Here is a 25120-nt window from a genome sequence, read left to right on the forward strand (position 1 = left end):
GAGACAGCATCTCACCACTCTGTCACCCAGGCTAGAGTGCAATGGTGCGATTTCAGCTCACTGCAGCCTCAGCTTCCCAGGGTGATCCTCCCACTTCAGCCTCCCAAGTAGCTGGTACTACAGGTGCATACCATTAAGCCCGACTCATTTCGCTGTATTTTTTGTAGAGACAGGATCTCACTATGTCACCCAGGCTGGTCTCAAACTCCTGGACTCAAGTGATCCTCCTGCCTCACCTGGCCTCCCAAAGTGCTGGGATTATAGGCGTGCAGCCTTTTAAGTTATTTTTTTTCTTATCCACACTGGGCCTCACCTATTCACTTTCCACAACACCTAAGAAAAATCTTAGACATTAAATACATACCTCAAACATATAAAATTCATTACACTGCTTTTGTAGCCATAATAATTATACTAATAAAGACTGACTCTAAAGAACTTAAAACTTACTAGGGTAGTGTTTAAATGGTCCAATTCACAAGGGGTTGGGAGAAATAATGATCCTCTCCTACCAAACTAGCAGCAACAATATGCCAAGTTTCCTATGCTGAACTAGTGTAAACAAGGAAGAAAAAGAGCCAGAGGTGGGAAGCAGTCAGGCAAGAGAACTCTCTTCAAGATATAACTTTACTTCTAAATTTCACCAGAGTAATAGCTTTTCTCAGTGTGTTCAATAACCCATGTCTCTCTGACTAAACACCACAGGTTAGCTGTCAGAAAACTACAGTAGGCTATATTCCCTGCTTGAGATCATCAGACGTAACAGATACAAATGGAGATTACAAATGATTAATTCTAAAGACTATCTCCTGCATCCAGTCAAAGAGTTTTCTAAACATCTAGAAATTTAAACCTGCTCTTGCTGTAATAATTGACCTTAAAGATAAAATAGTAGGACCCATCAAAGATGATGCACAGAAAAAAAAAATGGCGGGGCATAGTGGCTCACACCTGTTCCCAGCACTTTGGGAGGCCAAGGCGGGTGGATCACATGAGATCAGGAGTTCAAGATCAGCCTGACCAATATGGTGAAACCCCACCTCTACTAAAAATACAAAAAAAATTAGCCGGGCGAGGTGGTGTGCACCTGTAGTCCCAGCTGCTGGGGAGGTTGAGACAGGAGAATTGCTTGAACCTGGGAGGCAGAGGTTGCAGTGAACCGAGGTTGCGTCACTGCACTCCAGCCTGAGCGACAGAGCGAGACTCCGTCTCAAAAAAAAAAAAAAAAAAAAATTTACACATTACCTTTGGTGCAGCCACGGCTACAACACTCCTACTAATAGATGAGCATCATCCAGGGTAGAACTAGGTAGGAGTGGGATAAAAAGTAGGCTTACAGCCTCTTTTCCAGCGTTGCTTGAGGCATTCAGTGGATAAGGAATAAAAGAGAGGTTGGTTGTGCAAGTGATGCCAAGAGAAACAAGATTCCACATGTCAGGAGACTGAATGCCCAACAGAGCAAAGGGCACTGAACCTTTTGCCTTTTGCCCAAAGAAATATTAGTTGCTTCACCTGAAATCCTTTCAAAGAAAGTCTAATCGTCTCCACTGCAACTCTGCCTCTGAGTGAATCCAACAACCTCTATTCAGAGTACAAGGGGAAGCGTTGCTTAACAACGACAGCAAGTGCTACTTCCAAAGCCAAGAAACACTCCTTTACGTCGGGTAGTCTTCTGTCCCAATTCAGCCTTCTACAAGGTGAAGCCAAAAATACTTGGCTCCCAGCCTAAGTTCTCCATTTTCCCAAACATCTGTCAACTTAGCTTTCTTTCAGATAAGCCCCTCTCCATTCCCAGCATTCTGGTGACCCCAGATGAACCCTCTGCCAGGAGTCCTGTCCCTTCAGAAAGTTCCTTCCCCCAAGATCATCTCATTTCCCCCACTTTTCCTAAGGTGGTTCCCAGGCCCTGTCCCAAGTCTAACACTCCGGGTCCTCCATGTGTCGATTTACTAGTAGATCCTACTCCTCCCTGGCATAACTCTCAAGAAAGTCATCTCCCTCACCATACCCCCTTGTCTTCCCCCATAATATCACCCCCTTTTCCCTATCTATCCTCAGATGGAAAGAGACAGACACATAAATTAATCTGTTCTCAGCTCCTAACTCCCAAGCTCTCCAGTGCTCAGGTTGTTCCACAGCACCTAATCCTTCCCTATAGTTTCCGCCCAATCCTGGCATCCTCAGCCCCTCACTCCAAACCCCAACCTTTTTCCCCACTCCCCAAATCCAGATCTCCTGTGCTTTTTACTCTCAGCCAACACCATAACCCTTTTCCTCCCAAGTCTACCCACTATGCCTGGATGCCCAAGTCTTTTCCCCTCATCCCACGTCCCTTGGCCCCTAATCCTCGAAAAACCTTAGGAGCTCGCCCCCACCATCTCCCTTCCGCCCCTCCTGCCTCCGTGGTCCCTAACTCTCCTTTAGCCCTGCTCAGCCCCCAAATACTCCCTATGCCCACGGGGCTCCCCGACTCGTCCTCCCCGTCCCGGGAAGGGGTGGCCCTCAGTACCCGCCTGGCTCGCCCTGCCGCCAAGCTCAAGTGTCCCTTCCCTTCCCCTCGGGGCCCCCGAGGCCGCTGCCAGCGCTGGCACTGCGGGGCCGGCTCACCAGTTGGTCATGTCCAGGAAGAAGGCGCAACCGGCAGGATTGAGCTGGAAGCCGAGCAGCCTCTGGAACTCGGAGATGAGCACGTCCTTGTCGGTGGTGCCCAGGCAGCTGAACTTCTGCATCAGCTCCGGGTCCAGGTCTACGTCCATGCCCTCCATGGCGGGGACCGGACACCCGCTTCCCCGCCTCTTCACAACCAAGCCGCCGCCGCGCCGCCGGGCCCGGGGACCTGGAGGGGGGCCGCTGCTAGCTAGCTTCGCGACCCCGCTCCTTTGAGGTAGGCCCCGGGCCTCTCACAGTCTCATAGGGGTAAACTCACTCTGCCACTCACTCACTCTCCCCCCCCTCCCACCCCCCCCAGCTCCGCCGCCTCCGCCGCCTCTCGCCTCTCGCCACTCCGCCGCCTCCGCCTCCTCCCGCGCCGCGCCCACTGCGCAAGCGTCGCCCGCCCAGGCCCCGCCCCTTCCTCTCCCGGACGCCCGCCTCTTAGTGTCGTCACAAACTCGTGACGTCCCCGCGTGACCTCACCGCTGCGGGGCGATGGAGCGAAAAGTAGGAAGGAGGAAAGAGATGGTCCAGCCGTGGGGGGCGGGGGAGGCTTCTGGCCAGACCATTACTCCGCCCCGTCCCCACCCTCAAGGAGAGCCGTTAAAGCCTGGGGCTGCGGGAGAAGTTGAGGGATTTTCGTTTATAACAACTCTACCATTTTGCAGGTGAGGAAACTGAAGTCCCGGGAGAGACAGTGGCAAGGTCAAGTAGCAAAGTGCACTCAGCCCTCCCAGCAAGGAGTCTGCCACTCGCGCTTGAAGGACGTGTTTGAAGAGCTGCTTTCCCAGTGGGATGCTGCCTTAAAGTCTTGATTCCCTGGCACTCTTTCCTATTACTACATTTTATCGGTGCTGTTTGTGTTATGCAACGGTAGCATCGTGTCTCCGGAAGATAAAAAAGGTCTCGATACAAACATCCATAACCTTCCACCCACTCCGTCAGGAACAACCCAATCAAAATAAAGTCATGAGAATTTAGCATGCCTTGTTCTGTGTTTAAAATAGAAGACAAAGTATTTCTGTATATATCGTACACCTTCCCGGTCAAGGTCTGTCAAAGAATGAGAAAGGAAGCATAGAGACTATCTTGTCTACCCTCTTCTGTTAGGAAATGTTTTTGAAATATCGCGAATTGCCCAGCACTGCTAGATCCAAGGCGGGGAGGGGTGGGGGGGGATGAGTGAGAAATGGTCTTCTGCCTTCAAGTAGCCCCCTATTTTGCAAATAAGGGAAGTAAGCTTACGTGCGTTGTCCAAAAAATACAGAGCCCCAAAACTAGAACCCAGGTTTCTGGTTCCTTATGAAGTGTGTTTTCCACAATTTCAATAACAGCTGGAATAAGTAGTAATGTGTCGGGGGCCAGGATGTTTTGGAAAGGGAACGCATTCTACCTCCTCTGTCCCACTACCAAGAGAGTAAACTACAGTGGCTTAAAAAGCCTAGGTTCTGGAGTCATGCACATTTGGGACTGAGAGGTGAACATGTTTTGTCCCAATCTTTTGGATAATGCAATAGAGACAGAAAGATTATAAAAATCTCAATGTAATAACTGAAAGGAACTGAGACTGTCGAGTCCAACCTCCCCATTCTACAGATGAAGACATTGAAATGGAGAGAGCGGAAATGACTCACTCAAGATTACACAGCTGGAAAGTGGGTTCCAAACTCCCAGTTTAGCACTCCATTCACTATACCCTGCTACATTCCCTTTCTACATTAAGTTCAATTGGGGCCTTACACAAAAATTAAAAATTTGACCCAAGAACTAATTTGATGTTAGGACCATAGACTTCTAGAAAGTGTTTTAACTTGCAGTATCCATGGATGAAAATTGTGTTGACCAAGGATCCAAAAAAAGATATTATTGGAACCTGGTGACTCCATCAGAATGCTGATTCAGGGAAAAATTCAAAACTCTCTGTCAATCCCGTACAGTACTAAGGTCTTAGCCCACACCTAAACGCTCTACATAATTCAATTTTTTTTTTTTTGAGACAAGATCTTGTTCTGTTGCCCATGCTGGAGTGCAATGGTAGGATCACGGCTCACTGCAGCCTTGAACTCCTGGGATCAAGCAATCCTCCCACCTCAGCCCCCCAGGAAGGCGGAACTGCAGGTGGGCGCCACCATGCCCGGCTAATGTTTTTTTTTTCAACTTTCTTTAGAGACAGGGTCTCACTGTGTTGCCCGGGCTGATCTCAAACTTCTGGGCTTGAGAGATACTCCTGCCTTAGCCTCCCAAAGTGTTGGGATTACAGGCATGAGCCACTATGCCCTAACATTTTTATGTAATAAATAAAAAGCTATTAAGGTCAATGAGGAGGTGGGAGGATAGCTTGAGCCCAGGAATTCGAGACCAGCCTAAGCAACATGGTGTGACCACCACGCCACAAAAAATTTAAAAATTGATCACACGTGGTAGTGCTCACCCATGGTCCCAGCTACATGGGAGGCTGAGGAGGGAGGATCATTTGAGCCCAGGAGGTTGAGGCTACAGTGAGCCATGTTCCTGCCACTGCACTCCAGCCTGGGTGACAGGAGATGCTGTCTCAAAAAAAAAAAATTAAAAAAATTTACATATAAAAATAAAAAGATCCATAAAATTTTATTTTATTGTAAAATAAAATTTACAATAAAAATAAAAAGATCAATAATGGGAGGATCACTTGAGGCCAATAGTTTGAGACCAGCCTGGGCAGGCAGTGTAGCAAGACCCCATCTCTACCAAAAAATTTTAAAAATAGCTAGGTTAACTGGTAGGCACCTGTAGTCCCACCTGCTCCAGGTGGTTGAAGCAGGAAGATAGCTTGCACCTAGGAGTTTGAGGCTGCAGTGAGCTGTGATCGTGCCACTGCACTGGAGCCTAGGCATCTGAGCAAGACTCAGTCTCCCTTTTTTTTTTAGGCAGAGTCTTGCTCTGTCGCCCAGGCTGGAGTGCAGTGGCGAGATCTCGGCTCACTGCAATCTCTGCCTCTGAGGTTCAAGCAATTCTCCCGCCTCAGCCTCGCAAGTAGCAGGGACTACATGTGTGCACCACCATGCCCAGCTAATTTTTGTATTTTTTGGTAGTGACGGATTTTCACCGATGTTGGTCAGGCTGGTCTGAAACTCCTGACTTCAAGTGATCTGCCATCGGCCTCCCAAAGTGCCGGGATTACAGGCACGAGCCACCTTGCCTGGCGAAGACTCTGTCTCTTAAAAATGTATATATTAAAGACTTGAAAATGAATGAAAATATTTTAAACTTCATGAATAATTAGGATATGCAAATTAAAACAAAGATACATTATCATTCTTACATATTTTTACATTTTTACATAAACAAGGTATTTTTAGTATAAATACGTCCCATACATTAACTAGGTGTCCTCTATTTTTATTTGCTAACTCTGGCAACCCAAACTATTGGGAATGTTTACTTTTATGTTAAGTTTCTATACTGCTTGAATGTTTACAGTGAGTATATATTAATTTGGTAGTTATTTTTTATTTTTTATTTTTATTTTTATTTTTTGTCCCCACGAAAGAAGACTTTTTTTTAAGGATAAACTTTTCAATGATTTTTTTAAAATGTTATTGGTGAGGTAAAAGTATATAGCTATTGGCCAAGCATGGTGGCTCATGCCTGTAATCCTAGCACTTTGGGAGGTTGAGGCGGATGAATCACCTGAGGTCAGGAGTTCGAGACCAGCCTGGCCAACATGGTGAAACCCCATCTCTACTAAAAATACAAGAAATTGGTGAGGCGTGGTGGCTCACGCCTGTAATCCCAGTACTTTGGGAGGCTGAGGCGGGCAGATCACTTGGGGTTGGGAGTTCGAGACCAGCCCGACCAACACAGAGAAACTCCGTCTCAACTAAAAATACAAAATTAGCCTGGCGTGGTGGTGCATGTCTGTAATCCTAGCTACTCTGGAGGCTGAGGCAGGAGACTCACTTGAACCCGGGAGGCAGAGGTTGCAGTGAGCCGAGATCGCGCCATTGCACTCCAGCCTGGGCAACAAGAGCAAAAGTTGCTCTCAAAAAAAAAAAAAAAAGAAATTAGCCAGGCGTGGTGGCAGGCGCCTGTAATCCCAGCTACTCAAGAGGCTGCAGCAGGAGAATCATCACTTGAACCCAAAAGACGGAGCTCACAGTGAGCTGAGATCCCACCATTGCACTTCAGCCTGAGCAACAGAGCGAGACTGTCTCAAAAAATAATAATAAATATTATTTTTATTTATTTATTTTGAGACAGTCTCGCTCCATTGCCCAGGCTAGAGAGCAGTGGCCCTATCTGGGCTCACTGCAACCTCTGCCTCCAGGTTCAAGTGATTCTCCTGCCACAGCCTCCCAAGTAGCTGGGATTACAGGCGCCTGCCGCCACGCCTGGCTAAATTTTTTGTATTTTTGGTAGAGACGGGGTTTCACCATGTTGGCCAGGCCGGTCTGAAACTCCCGACCTCCGGTGATCCACCCACTTCGTCCTCCCAAAGTGCTAGGATTACAGACATGAGCCACCAGCCCCGGCCTTTATTATTATGTACTATTATTTTATTTTTTATTTTTTTCTGAGACAGAGTCTCGTTCTGTTGCCAAGGCTGGAGTGCAGTGGCACAAGATCTGCACTCACTGTAACCTCTGCCTCCCAGGTTCAAGCGATTCTCCTGCCTCACTCAGCCTCCTGAGTAGCTGGGATTACAGGCATTAGCCACCATGCCTGGCTAATCTTTTTTTATTTTTTGTAGAGGTGGGTTTCGCCATGTTGGCCAGGCTGGTCTCGAATTCCTGATCTCAAGTGATCTGCCGCCCGCCTCGACCTCCCAAGGTGCTGGGATTACAAAGCCTCTGCGCCCGGCTTGCCTGCCTGCCTGCCTGCCTGCCTGCCTTCCTTCCTTCCTTCCCTCTCTCTCTCTCTCTCTTTTCTTTCTCTCTCTCTCTTTTTCTCTCTCTCTTTTTTTCTTTCATCTAGCTCTGTTGCCCAGGCTGGAGTGTGCAGTGTGCAACAGTGCAATCTCAGCTCACTGCAACCTCCACCTCCTGGGCTCAAGCAATCCTACCACCTCAGCTTCCAGAGTAGCAGAGACTACAGGCGCATGCCACCACGCCCAGCTAATTTTTGTATTTTTTGTAGAGACAAGGTTTTGCCATGTTCTTCAGGCTGGTCTTGAACTCCTGAGTTCAGGCTATCCTCCTGCCTCGACCTCCCAAAGTGCTGGGATTACAGGTGTAAGCCACTGCACCTGGCCCTGTTTGTTTGTTTGTTTTACATTTTCCAAGTTTTGACAATAAGCATGTATTGAAGAATTTTTACCATACAATTTGCCTATGCTACGTTAAGTGAAGAAAACAGTATGTCACTTAATATACTATATGAACTTATCCACATAGCAAAAGATTGGAAATATTAATAATTATTAATAATAATTTTACTTTTCTTTTTTATACTTTCCCGTATTTAAATAAATAAATATGGCAGCGTGCAGTGGCTCACGCCTGTAATCCCAGCACTTTGGAAGACCCAGGCAGGCAGATCACCTGAGGTTAGGAGTTTGAGACCAGCCTGGCCAAGATGGTGAAACCTAGTCTCTACTAAAAATACAAAAATTAACCAGGTGTGGTGGTGCATGCCTGTAATCCCAGCTACTCAGGAGGCTGAGGCAGGAAAATCGCTTGAACCCAGGAGGTGGAGATTGTAGTGAGCTGAGAACCTACTATTACATTCCAGCCTGGGCAACAGAGGGAGACTTCGTCTCTAAATAAATAAATAGAACCGGGCAAGGTGGCTCACGCCTATAATCCCAGCACTTTGGGAGGCCAAGGCAGTAGGATCACTTGAGCTCAGGAGCTCAAGACCAGCCCTGTCAACTAGTGAGACAAAAATAAAACATAAGAACAACTAACCGGGGGCGGTGTGCACGCCTGTAATCCCAGCTACTGGGGAGGTTGAGGTGGGAGGATCTCTTGAACAGAGGAGGTCAAGGCTGCAGTGAGCAGAGATTGTGCCACTGCACTCCAGCCTGGGGCAATGGAGCAAGACCCTATCTTAAAATAAAATAAAATAAAATAAAATAAAATAAAATAAAATAAATATTCAAAAAGTTTCAACTGGCTGGTCCACTAAGAATCATGAGACAGAGGCCGGGCGCGGTGGCTCACGCCTATAATCCCAGCACTGTAGGAGGCCAAGGCAGGCGGATCACCTGAGGTCAGGAGTTTGAGACCAGCCTGGCCCACATGGCAAAACCCCGTCTCTATTAAAAATACAAAAATTAGCTGGGTGTGGTGCTGCGCGCCTGTAATTCCAGCTACTGGGGAGGCTGAGGTAGGAGAATCGCTTGAACCTGGGAGGTAGAGGTTGCAGTGAGCCAATATTGTGCCACTGCACTCCAGCCTGGGAGACAGACTGAGACTCCATCTCAAAAAAAAAAGAATAATGAGACAGAATTATCTCTATTATCTCTGTTAACATGGATGATCTTTAAAGCTTTTATTTGGGAAGCAAGAATTACATGTCAATTTTTTTAAACGTTTGGGGTCTTGCTTTTCCACCAAGACTGAAATGCAGTGGCAAAATAACTCACTCCAGCCTGGAATTCCTGGGCTTGAGCAGTCCTGCTGCCTCAGCCTCCCAGAGTGCTGGTATTATAGGCATCAGCCACCGTACTCAGCGTCACAATGTATTCTTAAATGATAAAAGATACCCAGCCGGGCGCGGTGGCTCACGCCTGTAATCCCAGCACTTTGGGAGGCCAAGGCAGGCAGATCACCTGAGGTCAGGAGTTCGAGACCAGACTGACTAACATGGTGAAACCCTGTCTCTACTAAAAATACAAAAGTAGCAGGGCGTGGTGGCATGCACCTGTAATCCCAGCTACTCAGGAGGCTGAGGCAAGAGAATCACTTGAACCTGGGAGATGGAGGTTGCAATGAGCCGAGATCGTGCCATTGCACTGCAGCCTGGGCAACAAGAGCAAAACTCTGTCTAAAAAAAAAAAAAAAAAAAAAAAAGATATGACAAAGCAGTAGTATTACATATGATTCAGTTTCTAAGACAGGTTCATGAATAAGTGTGAGAGAGATGTCTGGAAGGATATACTCCAAGGTATAACAATGACAATCTCTAGGTATGGACAATGATGGATATTTTAATATTTTTTGACTGTACTTTTTTAATGATCATGTAATAAAACATAAAGAGACACTTCATTTTGAAGAAAAGAAAATTGGATGGCCTGGGGAGCTTTTCAAACATTCGTTCATTTTAATTCTGTATAGTCTCCCTGTCAAGGGAGAAACCTCAAAAGCTGCAAAGCCAAGGAAGCAGCTAACAATGAGATGGGCTATTCAGTTGAGCAAGCAAATGTCTGCGGGCTTACTATGAGAAAGGCTGAGTTGGGGACAGTGGTCCGGAAAGAGAACCCTTATTCTTTTGCTGTGTGACTGTGACCAAATTATACAGCTTCACTCTAGACCTTAGTTTCCTCATCTCTATACAGGGAATGCTGTAAAAAGTTCGAAAGAATAAGTCAAACAAAACCAAAAAGATGTTTGGAATTTGGGCGGGGCGCAGTGGCTCTCACCTGTAATCCCAGCACTTTGGGAGGCCAAGGCGGGTGGATCACCAGGTCAGGAGATTGAGACCATCCTGGCCAACATGGTGAAACCCCGTCTCTACTAAAAATACAAAAATTGGCTGGGCTTGGTGGCGCATGCCTGTAATCCCAGCTACTCAGGAGGCTGAGGCAGGAGAATCGCTTGAACCGGGGAGTCGGAGGTTGCAGTGAGCCGAGATCATGCCACTGCACTCCAGCCTGGCGACAGAGCGAGACTCCAACTCAAAAAAAAAAAAAGTTTGGAATGTAATGTATGGCTACAACTAGCACAAGCCAAAATTTCCATTCTGTGTTTGTTTCCCAGGAATGGAGGTTTAAATGAGGTAGGCATAAGCACTTGTAAATGTAAAATATTAAAGTCTTATATGACATTGGGAGAGACAAGGACATACATTTCTATAAATAACTATATAAAGGCAGGCAACCGTGCAAAGCTGCATATGTTCAAGTGCCAAATGGGAAGTAGACAACGAGGCTGTAGGACTTGGGAGGAGGGAAGAGTAAAGGGTAGGTTGGGGTGCCCAGAGATGCCTTCCAGGAGACTTGACCCAGGAGGCCTGGATGATTCTCCACAGAGTTTGAGGAACAGGCTAGTAAGGAAATGCATTATGACAAAGTCATTTAGAAGCTTTGAACGGCTCCAAGACCCTGGCTCTTATTTACTTATTTTGAGACAGAGTCTCACTCTGCCGCCTAGGCTGGAGTGCAGTGGTGTGATCTTGGCTCACTGCAACCTCTGCCTCCTGGGTTCAAGAGATTCTCTTGCCTCAGCCTCCCAAGTAGCTGGGATTACAGGCGCCCGCCACCACGCCTGGCTAATTTTTGTATTTTTAGTAGAGACAGAGTTTCACTATGTTGTCCAGGCTGGTCTCGAACTCCTGACCTCAGGTGATCCATCTGCCTCTGCCTCCCAAAGTGCTGGGATTGCAGGCGTGAGCCACTGTGCCCAGCCAAGACCTGGCTCTTTTTGCTGCTTCCTGTTTTCTGTACTGAACACAAAAACATACCTAGAAGTCACTCCAGGAAAAGGAAATGCAATCTAAGTTCTACCTGGGGGGGTATATTTTCTCTGGGAAGTGAATAGGTGAGGTTGAAGAGCAGCCCTCCACTTTCAATATCCTCCCAAAGCATGATGGGAAAGGACCAGACCCCCACATTTGGGGTTTTTCCAGTTCTTCTACCCTACTACCCTACTCAAAAGATACTCAAATGGGAGGCACCGGCCTATTGTACTATTTTTTCTTCTGGACAAAGCATCTGAGACCCTGGGTCTCTTTTTTCCTACTGTGGTGAATGGGAGAATGCAGACGAAAACCTGACTGTCTTTATCTCACGTCCCTTGGCCTAGATTCATCCAGAAGTAGTCCATTCTTCTTTTTCTTTTTTTCCCCCCTTCTCTTCTTGGCCCTTTTAGTTTGCCAAGTCAAACATCCTCCAAGTAAACATGAACTCCTTATCTCTCCCTCATGTTAAAAAAACAAAAACAGAAACCCACAGCCTCTCCCATTTTATTATAATCATTCTCTTCACTCTTTTTTACCAACTGGGTTCCAATGTGTATAACATCTTGCTGTCTGCATCTCAGGTAAAGTTAAGAAAGAAAAGGAGAAAAAAGGGAACAAATATTTAACGAACTCTCCAGTGTGTCAGAGTCCATCACATTAAGTACTTTGGTTCATTTAATTTTCACAACAAAATGAGATCATTATTATTATTATTCCAATTTGCAGATCAGGAAATAGAAATTAAAAGTTTAAATACTGTGTTCAAATTTTTATTATTTTTATAATAGAGACAGAGTCTTGCTATGTTGGCCAGGTTGGCCTTGAACTCCTGGCCTCAAGCAATCCTCCTGCCTCAGCCTCCCAAAGTGTTGGGATTATAGACATGAGCCACTGCACCCGGCCTCTTTCAATCCTAAGGATTTTACATTTTCACTGTGTTCAGCCTGCTTGTGTTTGTAAGGAGCCATCATTACTTTCTTTTATGAGATTACTTTGATGATTTTCAAGATCCTTTTAGAGGAGACTAAGCTAATAAATACTAATATTAATACCAATACCTTAGCCAGGCACAGTGGCTCATGCCTATAATCCCAGCACTTTGGGAGGCCAAGGCCAGCCTGGCCAACATGGTGAAACCCCACCTCCACTAAAAATACAAAAATTAGCTGGGAGTGGTGGCACGTGCCTATAATACCAGCTACTCAGGAGGCTGAGGCAGGAGAATCGCTTGAACCCGGGAGGCGGAGGTTGGGGTGAGCCAAGATAGTGCTACTGCTATCCAGCCTGGGCAACAGAGTGAGACCCTGTCTCAAAAAACAAAATAAAACAAAACAAAACAAAACAAAAAAATACCAATATCTTAAATTTATGTAACACTTGACAGTTTACTTTTATCCTTATTTTTTCTTTTCTTTTTTTTTTTTTTTTTTGAGATGGAGTTTCGCCCGTGTTGCCCAGGCTGGAGTCTAATGGTTCAATCTCGGCCCACCGCAGCCTCAATCTCCTGGGTTCAAGTGATTCTCCTGCCTCAGCCTCCCGAGTAGCTGGGATTACAGGCCTGTGCCACCACTCCCAGCTAATTTTAGTATTTTTAGTAGAGGCGGGGTTTCTCTATGTTGGTCAGGCTGGTCTCGAACTCCTAACCTAAAGTGATCCACCCACCTCGGCCTCCCAAAGTGCTGGGATTACAGGTGTGAGCTGCCATGCCCGGCCTTCCTTATTTTTTCATTGTTTTAATGTTTTATTTTCTTTGGCCATGTCACTAGTAATACCTTATAGTTTTTCAATATATCCATATATTCTCTTATCTCATTCTCAGGAAAAACAAAATTACATTGGCTTATTTTTTAATAGCTTTATTATTTTTGAAAGACTCATACATGCTTGTTGCAACTAAAATTAAGCAATATAGAAATTGTAAAAAAAAGAAAGTAAAAATCACCCTAAATCCCACTACTCAGAGATAACCACTGTTAATATTTGAGTAAATATGTTTTTCATCTGTTTCTCCATTTGTATAATGTGACTAAATGGGATCATACTCTGCCTTTCTAGGCTGCTTTTTTTCACTGAGAGTATGCTGACAACAGCTTTCCACATCAGTAAATATATATGCATGTCATTATTTATATTTATTTTAATTTTGTTTGTTTATTTTCTAGTTTTTGTTTTTGAGACAGGGTCTTGGAACCCAGGCTGGAGTGCAGTGGCACAATCATGGCTCACTGCAGCCTTGACCTCCTAGGCTCAAGCAATCCTCCCACCTCAGCCTCTAGAGTAGTTGGGACTACAGGCACACTCCACCAAGCTCAGCTAATTTTTTAATTTTTTGTAGAGATGAGATCTCACTATGTTGCCCAAACTGGTCTTTAACTCCTAGGCTCAAACAATCCTCCTGCCTCAGCTTCCCAAAGTGCTGGGATTACAGGCATGAGCCACTGCACCCAACTCCATTATTATTTTTAATGATTGTATAGTATTCCAATTTAAGGATACATTTCCCTTGACCAGTGACCTGTTGATGAAGTTTGAGACTACTTCCAATTTCTGATTGTCATAAGAAATTATTAGCCCTAATTTAAAGATTAGGGAATTGAAGCTCTGAAGAAGCTAAATGACCCTCTTTTCAAAATTCAGGTCTAGAACTAAGCTACTTGGGCCAAGCCCCAGATTTCTGACTTTTTTTTTTTAAGACGAGGTCTCACTATGTTGCCCAGGCATGTCTTGAACTCCTGAGGTCAAGGGGTCCTGGCCCAGACTTCTGACTCAAAACAGTTCTCTCTCCAAATGAACCACAAGAATAGAAAGCTGGAATTCTTGAAATATAATAGGAGTTGACATTCTTGACATATAATATAGAATTGACAACAAAAAATGAGATGTTTTTAACTGTCCCATTTCTTTTTGTTTCCTTTTTTAATCAGTCTACATCATACTTTGATGCCCCATTTCTTTAAAAGTTAAGCATATGCTTACGCTTACTGCAAAACCAAAATATTCTGCTCCTATCTATTTACTCAAAATAAATGAAAGCATATGTCTGTACAAATACTTGTACATGAACATTCATAGCAGGTTTTTTTTGTTTTCTGAGATGGAGTCTTGCTCAGTTGTCCAGGCTGCAGTGCAGTGGCGCGATCTCAGCTCAGTGCAACCTCCGCCCCCTGGGTTCAAGCAATTCTTCTGCCTCAGCCTCCCAAGTAGCTGGGACTACAGGTGTGTGCTACCACACCCGGCTAATTTTTGCATTTTTAGTAGAGAGGGGGTTTCACCATGTTGGCCAGGCTGGTCTTGAACTCCCGACCTCAGGTGATCGGCCCATCTTGGCCTCCCAAAGTGCTGGGATTACAGGTGTGAGCCATCGCACCCGGCCCATTCATACCAGTTTTATTTGCAGTATTCAAGTAATGGAAACAACCTAACTGTTCATCAATAAGCAAATGGATAAACAAATTGTAATATGCCCACACAATGGAATACTACTCAGTAATTGAAAGGAATAAACTATTGATAGGTACAGCAACATGGATGAATTTCAGAAACATATTGAGCAAAAAAAGCCAGACACAAAGGAATATATACTGTGTAATTCCACTTATATGAAGTTCAAGAATAGGTAAAACTGAGCTATAGTGATGAAGTGACCCCAGTGGTGCCTCGTGGTGCAGGGAAGCTTGGAGGGGGCCCAGAGAATTGACTGGAAGGGGCATGAGTGGATCTTTTGGGTTGGGTTAATGGAATTGTTCTATAGCTTAATTGTGGTAACAGTTACATGGGTATATGCATTTATCAAATCTCATCAAACTGTACACTTTTTTTTTTTTTTTTGGAGACAGAGTCTCGCTCTGTCACCCAGGCTGGAGTGCAGTGGTGCAATCTTGGCTCACTGCAACCTCCACCTCCCAGGTTGAAGCAATTGTCCAGGCTCAGCCTCCCAAGTAGCTGGGATTACAGGTGCACACCACCACGCCCAGCTAATTTTTGTATTTTTAGTACAGATGGGATTTTGCCATGTTGGCCAGGCTGGTCTAGAATTCCTGACTTCAAGTGATCCACCCACCTCGGCCTCCCAAAGCGCTGGGATTACAGGCATGAGCCACCACGCCCTGCCAAACTGTACACTTTAAATGGGTGAACATTATTGTATGTAAATTATATTTCAACAAAGTGTTGTTTTTTACCTGGCCCTTTGGTTTTGTTACCATGAAGTATACTGCATGTGGCAGAGATAAACGTTTGGCATAAACAGAAAATATCTGTGAATGAATAATTTTATATATATATATATATAAAAGGATAAATGGCAGTCATCTGGTCCTTTCCCAGTAATAGGAGTCACTTATCAGAAAAATAAATTGTCTGCATGAACTTGACCCTGGAAAGATGAGACACAGTTCGGCTCTACATGCGTGGGTAGTGCTGCTCTGGCTGGACATGTGACAGCTGGCAGGGGGCCCTCGGCAGTGGGCCCAGGCAGGCATCTGGGTAGGGGCGAGGCCTCAGGGAGCAAGGAAGGCCTCAGCCCTCCCCTTAGCATACATTTTTCAAGGGCAGACCTGCCTAGGAGGGTCACATGTCTGACGCCTTTGCCAGGCCTCCAAACATAGAAAAGCTGCAGGGTTCTATGAAAAATGAAGCCTTTGTGTCAAAAATAGACCTTCAAGGAGAAAATTAAAAGCTGTTTCCTGAAGCTAGGCAAAGGGGAGCTATCCTGGAAAGGAAAATGCCTGGAAAGCAAGTTTGAATTTTGAAGGACCATGCTAACAAGTGATGATAACCCAGGGGCCTCCTCTCAGAGACCCCGTAGAATTTCACTGGACTCATTTGCCTCCAATCTCCTCGAATCTCACACTGCAGAACTTCTGGGATGATTTAAAGTGAGTTTCTACAGAAAAGGAAAAATCAAGTGACTGTCAGGTGCTTAACTGGTTAGGAACATCGAAGATGGCTGCTTGATAAAGAAAGCAAATCAGAACAAAACAGAAAGCCCTAAACAGGAATCGCTAGAAAGGAACTCTTTGTAACTGATAATAGCAGCCTGCTGTAAAGGCATCCCCAAAGGTAAAATGCTCATTTCCTCCACAAAAGAGTGTGTGTGTGTGTGTCTCTGTGTGTGTCTGTGTGTCAGAGAGACAGAGACAGAATGAGGTGGAAGAGGCCAAGACTAGAGAGAATAAGTGAATATTTCCTTTCTCTCTCCAGACCTCATGTGGCCAAAAGCTAAACAGGTCCATAATCAGCACACTATTGACCTATCGTTGTGTGTATCCTTAAGCTAGTATCTCAAGGGTCTAATTCCCTAAATCACAGTCACTTGGGAGCAGGTGGGTCTTGTTAAAAATGCCCATTCTTGGCCGGGCGCGGTGGCTCACATCTGTAATCCCAGTACTTTGGGAGGCCGAGGTGGGCGGATCACGAGGTCAGGAGATCAAGACCATCCTAACTAACACGGTGAAACCCCGTCTCTACTAAAAATACAAAAAATTAGCCGGGCGTAGTGGCGGGCGCCTGTAGTCCCAGCTACTTGGGAGGCTGAGGCAGGAGAATGGCGTGAACCCGGGAGGCGGAGCTTGCAGTGAGCCGAGATCCCGCCACTGCACTCCAGCCTGGGCGACAGAGCGAGACTCCGTCTCAAAAAAAAAAAAAAAAAAAAAAATTACCCAGGTGTGATGGTGGGTGCCTGTAGTACCAGCTACTCGGGAGGCTGAGGAAGGGGAATGGCGTGAACCCAGGAGGCGAAGCTTGCAGTGAACTGAGATCACACCACTGCACTCCAGCCTGGTCGACAGAGTGAGACTCCATCTCAAAAAAAAAAAAATGCCCATTCTTGGCCGGGCACACTGGCTCATGCCTGTAATTCCAGTACTTTGGGAGGCCAAGGCGGGCAGATCACCTGAAGTCAAAAGTTTGAGAACAGCCTGGCCAACATGGTGAAACCCCTTCTCTACTAAAAATACAAAAATTAGCTGGGTGTGGTGGTGCGTGCCTGTAATCCCAGCTACTTGAGAGGCTGAGAAAGGAGAATCGCTTGAACCCAGGAGGTGGACGTTGCAGTGAGCCAAGATCGTGCCACTGCACTCCAGCCTGGGCAACAAGAGTGAAACTCTGTCTCAAAAAAAAAAGAAAATAAAAGCCCATTATTGGCCGGGCGCAATGGCTCATGCCTATAATCCCAGCACTTTGGGAGGCCAAGGGGGATGGATCATTTGAGGCCAGGAGCTCGAGACCAGCCTGGCTAATATGGCTGAAAACCCGTCTCTACTAAAAATTAAAATTAAAATAATGAGCCACGGTTGCGGGCACCTGTAATCCCACCTACTTGGGAGGCTGAGGCATGAGAATCATTTGAACCTGGGAGGCGAAGGTTGCAGTGAGCCGAGAGTGTGCCACTACACTCCAGCCTGAGTAACAGAGCAAGACTCGGTCTCAGGGAAAAAAAAAAAAAAAAAAAGCACATTCTTGGGTCCCAGACCCCTACAGTATAAGTCAGTGTGTCTATTTCAAATAGAGCCCGGGAATCACCATGTGATTCTAATGCACATTAAAGCTTGAAGGTCATTACCACTTCTTTTCTTTTCTTTCTTTCTTTCTTTCTTTTTTTTGAAACAAGCTTTTACTCTGTCGCCCAGGCTGGAGTGCAACGGCATGATCTCCGCTCACTGCAGCCTCCACCTCCTGGACTCAAGTAGCTGGAGCCACAGGTGCGTGCCACCATGTCCGGCTAATTTTTTGGTTTTTGGTAGAGACAAGGTCTCACTTTGTTATCCAGGCTTGTTTTGAACTCCTGGGCTCAAGCGATCCTCCTGCCTCAGCTTCCCAAAGTGCTGGGATTACAGGCATAAACCACTGAGCCCAGCAGAAGATTAAGTTAGTTGTTTATTAATGGTTTGCTCAATAGTTCAACTTGATTACAAGTCAGCAAATTAGGCCGGGCGCGGTGGCTCACACCTGTAATCCCAGCACTTTGGAAGGCCGAGGCGGGCGGATCACGAGGTCAGGAGATTGAGATCATCCTGGCCAACACGGTGAAACCCCGTCTCTACTAAAAATACAAAAAAAATTAGCCAGGGGTGGTGGCGGGCGCCTGTAGTCCCAACTACTCGGGAGGCTGAGGCAGGAGAATCGCTTGAACCCAGGAGGCGGAGCTTGCAGTGAGCCGAGATCGCGCCATTGCACTCCAGCCTGGGTGACAGAGTGAGACTCCATCTCAAAAAAAAAAAAAAAAAAGTCAGCAAATTAAACTCTGTATTTTCACTGGTGTGTTTGAATTCCGTTTGTCTCAAGAAAAACAACTATCAATTGGTGGGAAAAAAAACCCAACTGGATGGTTGAGAATATAAATCCATAAATTTCTGAGATTGGTGGCAATATGTAGCAAAATTCTTCTAAATGCTTTGACCCAGATTTTCCATTCCCAGTCATGAATCCTAAGGAAATAATGAATGAGCCAAGATACAAGAAAGTTTACTTTGCTATTGTTCATAGTTTTGAAAAATTGGAAACCATCTAAATGCTTAACAAAAGGAGATCAGTTAAATTAGTTACAAGAGTGCCATATAATAAATGCAGATCTGAATTTATTGACACGGGCACATGTTTAAACTACATAATTCTTCAAGAGACAAAGAAGATTACAAAACTATGTCATATGTTTATTTTTGTAAAAAGAAATTTAAAACAGGCCGAGCATGGTGGCTCACGTCTGTAATCCCAGCACTTTGGGAGGCCGAAGCAGGCAGATCACGAGGACAAGAGATAGAGACCATCCTGGCCAACATGGTGAAACTCTGTCTCTACTAAAAATAAAAAAATTAGCTGGGCATGGTGGCCTGTGCCTGTAGTCCCCGCTACTTGGGAAGCAGAGGCAGGAGAATCGCTTGAACCCAGGAGGCAGAGGTTGCATTGAGCCGAGATTACGCCACTGCACTCCAGCCTGGCAACAGTGCAAGACTCTGTCAAAAACAAAACAAAACAAAACAAAACAAAACAAAACAAAACAAAACTTAGCTCGGCATGGGGGCGTGCACCTGTAGTCCCAGCTACTTAGGAGGCTGAGGCAGAAGAATTGCATGGGCAACAGAGAGACTCCGTCTAGAAAAAAAAAAATTAAAAACAAAATTTTGAAGAATAATATACAAAATGTTAACTATACCTACCTCTGTGTGGTGAGGTCACATTTTTCTTCTTTGTAATTTGTTTAAATTGTTTTAAAATTATATACATATATTATTATTTTAGAGACAGGGTCTCATTCCGTCACCCAGGCCGGAGTGCAGTGGCATGATCATGGCTCAGTGTAACCTCAAACACTTGGGCTCAGGAGATCCTCCCATCTCAACCCCATGAGTAGCTAGGACTACAGGGGCAGACCACCATGCCTAGCTACATTTTTTGTTTGTTTGTTTGTTTTTAAGTAGAGATACGGTCTCACTGTTTCCCAGGCTTATTTTTATAATCAGAAAAAGCATAGGGCTGTAACCATTTTGAATAAAAGGAGCAGATCACTGAATTCCATGTTTAAAAACTGGGTTAAAGTCCCAGATCTACTGCTTTGAACTTCTCTTTTCTTTTCTCTGAAATGGAGTATTATCATCTCAGAGGTACTCTCCATCTACCTCTGAGAGTAGTTGTGAGATAAAGTCTGGAAATATTTTGCCAACTATAAAGTGTTTTATAAAGATGCTATATTACTAAGTTTTGATTTTCACATCAGATACCCAAACTCATTCAATACCTAAATCTGCAAATATATAATTAAACATGATGCTAGACCTTTTTTAAAAAAAAAAATTTTAAAAATATATATTTTAAAAATATATTTTCCCTTTTTATTATGGAAATTTTTTATTTTATTTATTTATTTATTTTGAGACAGAGTTTAGCACTTGTTTCCCAGGCTGGAGTACAGTGGTGCAATCTGGGCTCGTTGCAACCTTTGCCTCTGGGGTTCAAGTGATTCTCCTGCCTCAGCCTCCCAAGTAGCTGGGATTACAGGTGTGCACCACCACACCCAGCTGATTTTTGTATTTTTAGTAGAGATGGAGTTTCACCATGTTGGCCAGGCTGGTCTCGAACTCCTGACCTCAGGTGATCCACCCGCCTCAGTCTCCGAAAGTGCTGGGATAACAGGCGGGAGCCACCACACCCGGCTGAAAGACCCTGTCTCTACCAAAAAAAAAAACTTAAAAAATTACCCAGTTGTGGTGGTACATGCCTATAATCCTAGGTACTCAGGAGGCTGATGCAGGGGGATCACTTGAGCCTGGGAGTTCAAAGTTTCAGTGAGCTATGATCATACTATTGCACTCCAGCCTGAGCACAGAGAGAAACTCTATTTAAAAAAAAAAAAAAAAGTAGGCTGGGTGCAATGGCTCATGCCTGTAATCCCAGCACTTTAAGAGGCCAAGACAGGTGGATTGCTTGAGGCCAGAAGTTCAAGACCGGCTTGGGCAACATGGTGAAACCTCATCTGTACAAAAAAGAAAAAGGAAAATATGCTAACTCAATAGAACTTTACAGAAAAAAAAAAAAATTAGCTGGGTGTGGTGGTGTGCAGCTGTAGTTCCAGCCACTCAGGAGGCTGAGGTGGGAGGATCACTTGAACCTGGGAGGTTGATGCTGCAGCAAGCTGTGATCACACCACTGCTCCACAGCCCAGGTGAACAGAACAAGGCCGTCTCAAAGAAACAAACAAAAAAGTGAATAGAATAGTATATGCACTCCCATGTATGCGTCACCCAGCTTCAATATTATCAACTGACAGCCAGCCTTGTTTTGTCTACACCTCCCACTCACTCCCAGCCTCTCCCATATTAACATAGTGCCAGACTTTTAGTTGAGCTCTGTAACTTTTTTTTTTTTTTGGACTGGCTGTCGCTCTGTCACCCAGGCTGGAGTGCAGTGGCACAATCTGCGCTCATTGCAACCTCTGCCTCCTGGGTTCAAGTGATTCTCCTGCCTCAGCCTCCCAAGTAGCTGAGACTACAGGCATGCACCACCACACCCAGCTAATTTTTTTTTTTTTTTTTGAGACGGAGTCTTGCTCTGTCGCCCAGGCTGGAGTGCAGTGGCGTGATCTCGGCTCACTGCAAGCTCCGCCTCCCAGGTTCACGCCATTCTCCTGCCTCAGCCTCCCGAGTAGCTGGGACTACAGGCGCCCGCCACCACGCCCGGCTAATTTTTTTTGTATTTTTTAGTAGAGACAGGGTTTCACCATGTTAGCCAGGATGGTCTCGATCTCCTGACCTTGTGATCCACCCGCCTCGGCCTCTCAAAGTGCTGGGATTACAGGCATGAGCCACTGCGCCCACGCCCAGCTAATTTTTATATTTTTAGTAGAGACGGGGTTTTACCATGTTGACCAGGCTGGTCTCAACTCCTGACCTCAGGTGATCCGCCTGCCTCGGCCTCCCAAAGTGCTGGGATTACAGGCGTGAGTCACTGTGCCCGGCCAAGCTCTATAACTTTCATGTACACAAAAGTACATTCCAGTTCTCAACTCCTCATCTAAAAAGACAGTTTGGAGACCAGGACACGGTGACTGCTTTCCTGCCGGGTGGCATAGGGGAGCTTAACAAGAACTACTATCCCAATTTCCTGATGGTGGAGAAGCATACAACCATCAGTGAGATCAAAGACACTTTCCAGCAGTTTCTGAACGGGACAACATTGGCATCATCCTCATCAACCTGTACATTACAGAGATGGTGTGGCACGCCTTGGATACACACCAGTGCCCCATTCCAGTCATCCTGGAGATCCCCTCCGAGGAGCACCCGTATGACACTGTGCCAAGGAATCCATCCTGGGCAGAGCCAGGGACATGTTCTCTGCCGAAGACCTGCGCTAGGGGATTCCTCACAGCCCAAAGCCCCTCCCTCATTTCCAGGCCTCTCCCCAGGCTTGCCATCAGCCTTCTTTAAGTTCTGAGCCTCTGACTTCCAATTCCCACCTCTTCCCACTTCATTAAGAGGCTAGGTGAGGCGCTCCTAGGGTGCTTGGGCTCTGCTGTTAAAGTCAAGGCTAGTTAAGGAACAGGAAGCCAGACCATCTTCTACCTCCACTACCTCTTCCTTGTGCTATTGGTTACACAGTGTCATTGTTGATGTAAAATTAAAGTATAATATTAATAATATTCTTGCTTCTCTCCAAAAAAAAGAAACACAAAAAGTTGATGTAGTGCTGTTTCTACAGATTATGTATGCAGCTCAGCACTGGGGCAACAAAAGGGCCCTTGAAGTCCGACAGACTTGAGTTCAAATCCTACCCTGTCACCTACCTGTCATGTGACATCAGATAAATTAATTACCCCTTTTAAGTCTTGTTTCCTAATACCTGCCTTCTATAGTTAACATGAGACTTAGGCCGGGCGCGGTGGCTCACGCCTGTAATCCTAGCACTTTGGGAGGCTGAGGTAGGTGGATCATTTGAGGTCAGGAGTTTGAGACCAGCCTGGCCAACATGGTGAAACCCCGTCTTTACTAAAAATACAAAAATTAGGCAGGCATGGTGGCAGGCGCCTGTAATCCCAGCTACTCAGGAGGCTGAGCAGGAGAATCGTTTGAACCCAGGAGGTGGAGGTGAGCCAAGATCACGCCATTGCACTCCAGCCGGGGTGACAGAGTAAGACTCCATCTCGGAAAGAAAAAAAAAATGAGACTTAAATAAGAGAATGTATGTAAAGCATGATGTCTAACACATAGTGGCAGCGGCGGGGGCAACAACAACTCACCAGATGTTCCATTTGTTTATAGAAGACCTTTAGGAATAGATATTGATTTCCCTTTGACAGATGAAGAAACTGACAACATTAATGAGTATTGCTAACAGTGGAGAGACAAAGAACTGCTCATTTTCTACTGGGAAAGTGAAAATTGGGACAACCACTAAGCACAGCCACAATTTGGCAGTATCTAGGAAAGTTGAAGAGGCGTTTTTCCCTACATCCCAGCAATTCTGTTTCTAGATATATGCTCTAGAATACTCTCACACGTGTACCCAAGAAGACATATAAGAATGTATATTGCAGCTAGGTATGGTGGCTCACCCTTATAATGCCAGAACTTTGGAAGGCTGGAAGATCATTTGAACCCAAGAGTTTGAGACCAGCCCGGGTAACATAGTGAGACCCCCCTCTACCAAAAAAAAAAAAAAAAAATCAAAAAATAAGCCAGGCATAGCGGTATGCACCTGTAGTCCCAGCTACTCAGGAGGCTGAGGTAGGATGATCGTTTGAGCCCAGGAGGTTGAGGCTGCAGTGAGCTGTGGTTGCACCACTACACTCCAGCCTGGGTGACAGGACAAGACCCTGTCTCAAAAACAATTTTATTTTAAATTAAAAACATGTACACTGCAACAATGCTTATGAGAGCAAACAATAGGAAGCAGTCTAAATGTCCAATAGTATAGAAAATGTGATATAATCAAGGAAGATAAATTGTGATATAGTCATGAATGAAACACCTACACCAATTAAATTGGCTGAAGTAGCTACATGTGGCAACATGAGTAAATACCATAAAGTTGAGTGAAAAGAGTGGTGGCAAAATGATCCCTCAATATGATACCATTTTTTTTTTTGAGATGGAGTCTCGCTGTGTCACCAGGCTGGAATGCAGTGGCGATACCATTGTTTTTTAATAGCTTTATGGATGTGTAACTGATATACAAAAACCTACACATATTCAATATGTACACTCTGATGAGTTTGGACATATGCACACACCCATGACACTGCTTTGTCTCTGTCTCAAAAAAAAGATAAGTAATAGATTCATAATAAATCATACATTCAGGATAATCAATATTCAGGATAATGGTTATCTCAGGAAAGAAAAGGAAGAAACATAATAAAAGAGGGATACTAGGAGGGTGTAATTGTTTCTGTAATATTTTACTTCTTTTTTTTTTTTTTTTTTTTTTTGAGACAGAGTCTTGCTCTGTCACCCAGGCTGGAGTGCAATGGCGCAATTTTGGTTCACTGCAATGCAATCTCCGCCTCCCAAGTTCAAACAGTTTTCCTGCCTCAGCCTCCAGAGTAGCTGGGATTACAGGCATCCACCACCAAGCCCGGCTAATTTTTGTATTTTTAGTAGAGACAGGGTTTCACCATGTTGACCAGGCTGGTCTTGAACTCCTGACCTCAGGTGATCCACCCACCTTGGCCTCCCAAAGTGCTGGGATTACAGGCATGAGCTACCATACCTGGTCATATTTTAGTTATTTAAAAAATAGCTAAAGCACATATGGCTTAATGTTAGGATTTATGTGTAAAGACTCAGATTTTGTTATATTATTCTTCATACATATGTGTATGTATATGTATACATATGTATATAAGCAGAAAACGCTTACTATGTGACAGGCACTGTTAGATTCTTTACGTGTATTAACTAATGTAATCATTTCAATAACCCTACGACCCTACAGTTACTATGATTATCTCTGTTTTACAGATGAGAAAACTGAAGTACAGAGATTAGAAACTTGCTCAATGTCACAAATCTAGTAAGTGGTGATCCTGGGATTTGAAGATGGTCTGGCTTCAGAGTCTGATCTTTTCTTTTTATTATTTTTTATTATTATTTTTTAATTTTTCTCTTTTTGAGCCGGGTGCAGTGGCTCACGCCTGTAATGCCAGCACTTTGGGAGGCTGAGGCAGGTGGATCACTGAGCTCAAGAGTTTGAGACCAACCTGGGCAACATGGTGAGACTCTGTTTTTACGATAATAATAATAATAATTTTTCTTTTTTATTTTAAAAAATCTTTTACTTATTAACTTTATTTCTTTTTCTCCCTGGTAACTCCCAGAACAAGAGTCTCATCTCTTAACAACCATATCCTACTACCTCTTCAAATATTTCAAAA

At 44.9% G+C, this 25120-nt stretch overlaps 1 protein-coding gene, 1 long non-coding RNA gene and 1 pseudogene across 8 annotated transcripts in view, besides 2 other annotated features; 2 read left to right on the forward strand and 1 right to left on the reverse strand.

Annotated features, from left to right (window-relative positions):
* The window catches only part of ILRUN (inflammation and lipid regulator with UBA-like and NBR1-like domains), a 109480-nt gene extending 106551 nt beyond the window's left edge, over positions 1 to 2929 (reverse strand). For all 6 annotated transcript variants that reach the window (XR_926300.4, XR_007059333.1, XR_007059332.1 and 3 more), the window contains exon 1: positions 2608 to 2929. Coding sequence is in view for 3 of the 6 variants with exons in the window: in NM_022758.6 (NP_073595.2) it covers positions 2608 to 2765 (158 nt within the window). In the remaining 3 variants the exon portion in view is untranslated. The remainder of the gene's footprint in view (positions 1 to 2607) is intronic.
* ILRUN-AS1 (ILRUN antisense RNA 1) lies at positions 2316 to 3633 on the forward strand. Of its 2 annotated transcripts, none has more exons than NR_134625.1 (2): positions 2316 to 2884; positions 3321 to 3633. It is a non-coding gene; the product is annotated as an ILRUN antisense RNA 1 (long non-coding RNA). The 2 variants fall into 2 exon arrangements; NR_134626.1 differs by lacking the exon at positions 2316 to 2884 and adding an exon at positions 3107 to 3159.
* Positions 2458 to 2527: a silencer, noted in NCBI's record as "silent region_17080". NCBI's record gives its function as "represses an Ori minimal core promoter by ATAC-STARR-seq in GM12878 lymphoblastoid cells {active_cell/tissue: GM12878}" and the evidence as "EXISTENCE:reporter gene assay evidence [ECO:0000049][PMID:35858748]".
* Positions 2798 to 2957: a silencer, noted in NCBI's record as "silent region_17081". NCBI's record gives its function as "represses an Ori minimal core promoter by ATAC-STARR-seq in GM12878 lymphoblastoid cells {active_cell/tissue: GM12878}" and the evidence as "EXISTENCE:reporter gene assay evidence [ECO:0000049][PMID:35858748]".
* Positions 3634 to 10776: 7143 nt separating the features above from the next.
* ATP6V1FP1 (ATP6V1F pseudogene 1) lies at positions 10777 to 22102 on the forward strand (annotated as a pseudogene).
* The last annotated feature ends 3018 nt before the right edge of the window (positions 22103 to 25120 follow it).

Source organism: Homo sapiens, chromosome 6 (genome assembly GCF_000001405.40).
Source record: "Homo sapiens chromosome 6, GRCh38.p14 Primary Assembly".
Taxonomy (NCBI): domain Eukaryota; kingdom Metazoa; phylum Chordata; class Mammalia; order Primates; family Hominidae; genus Homo; species Homo sapiens.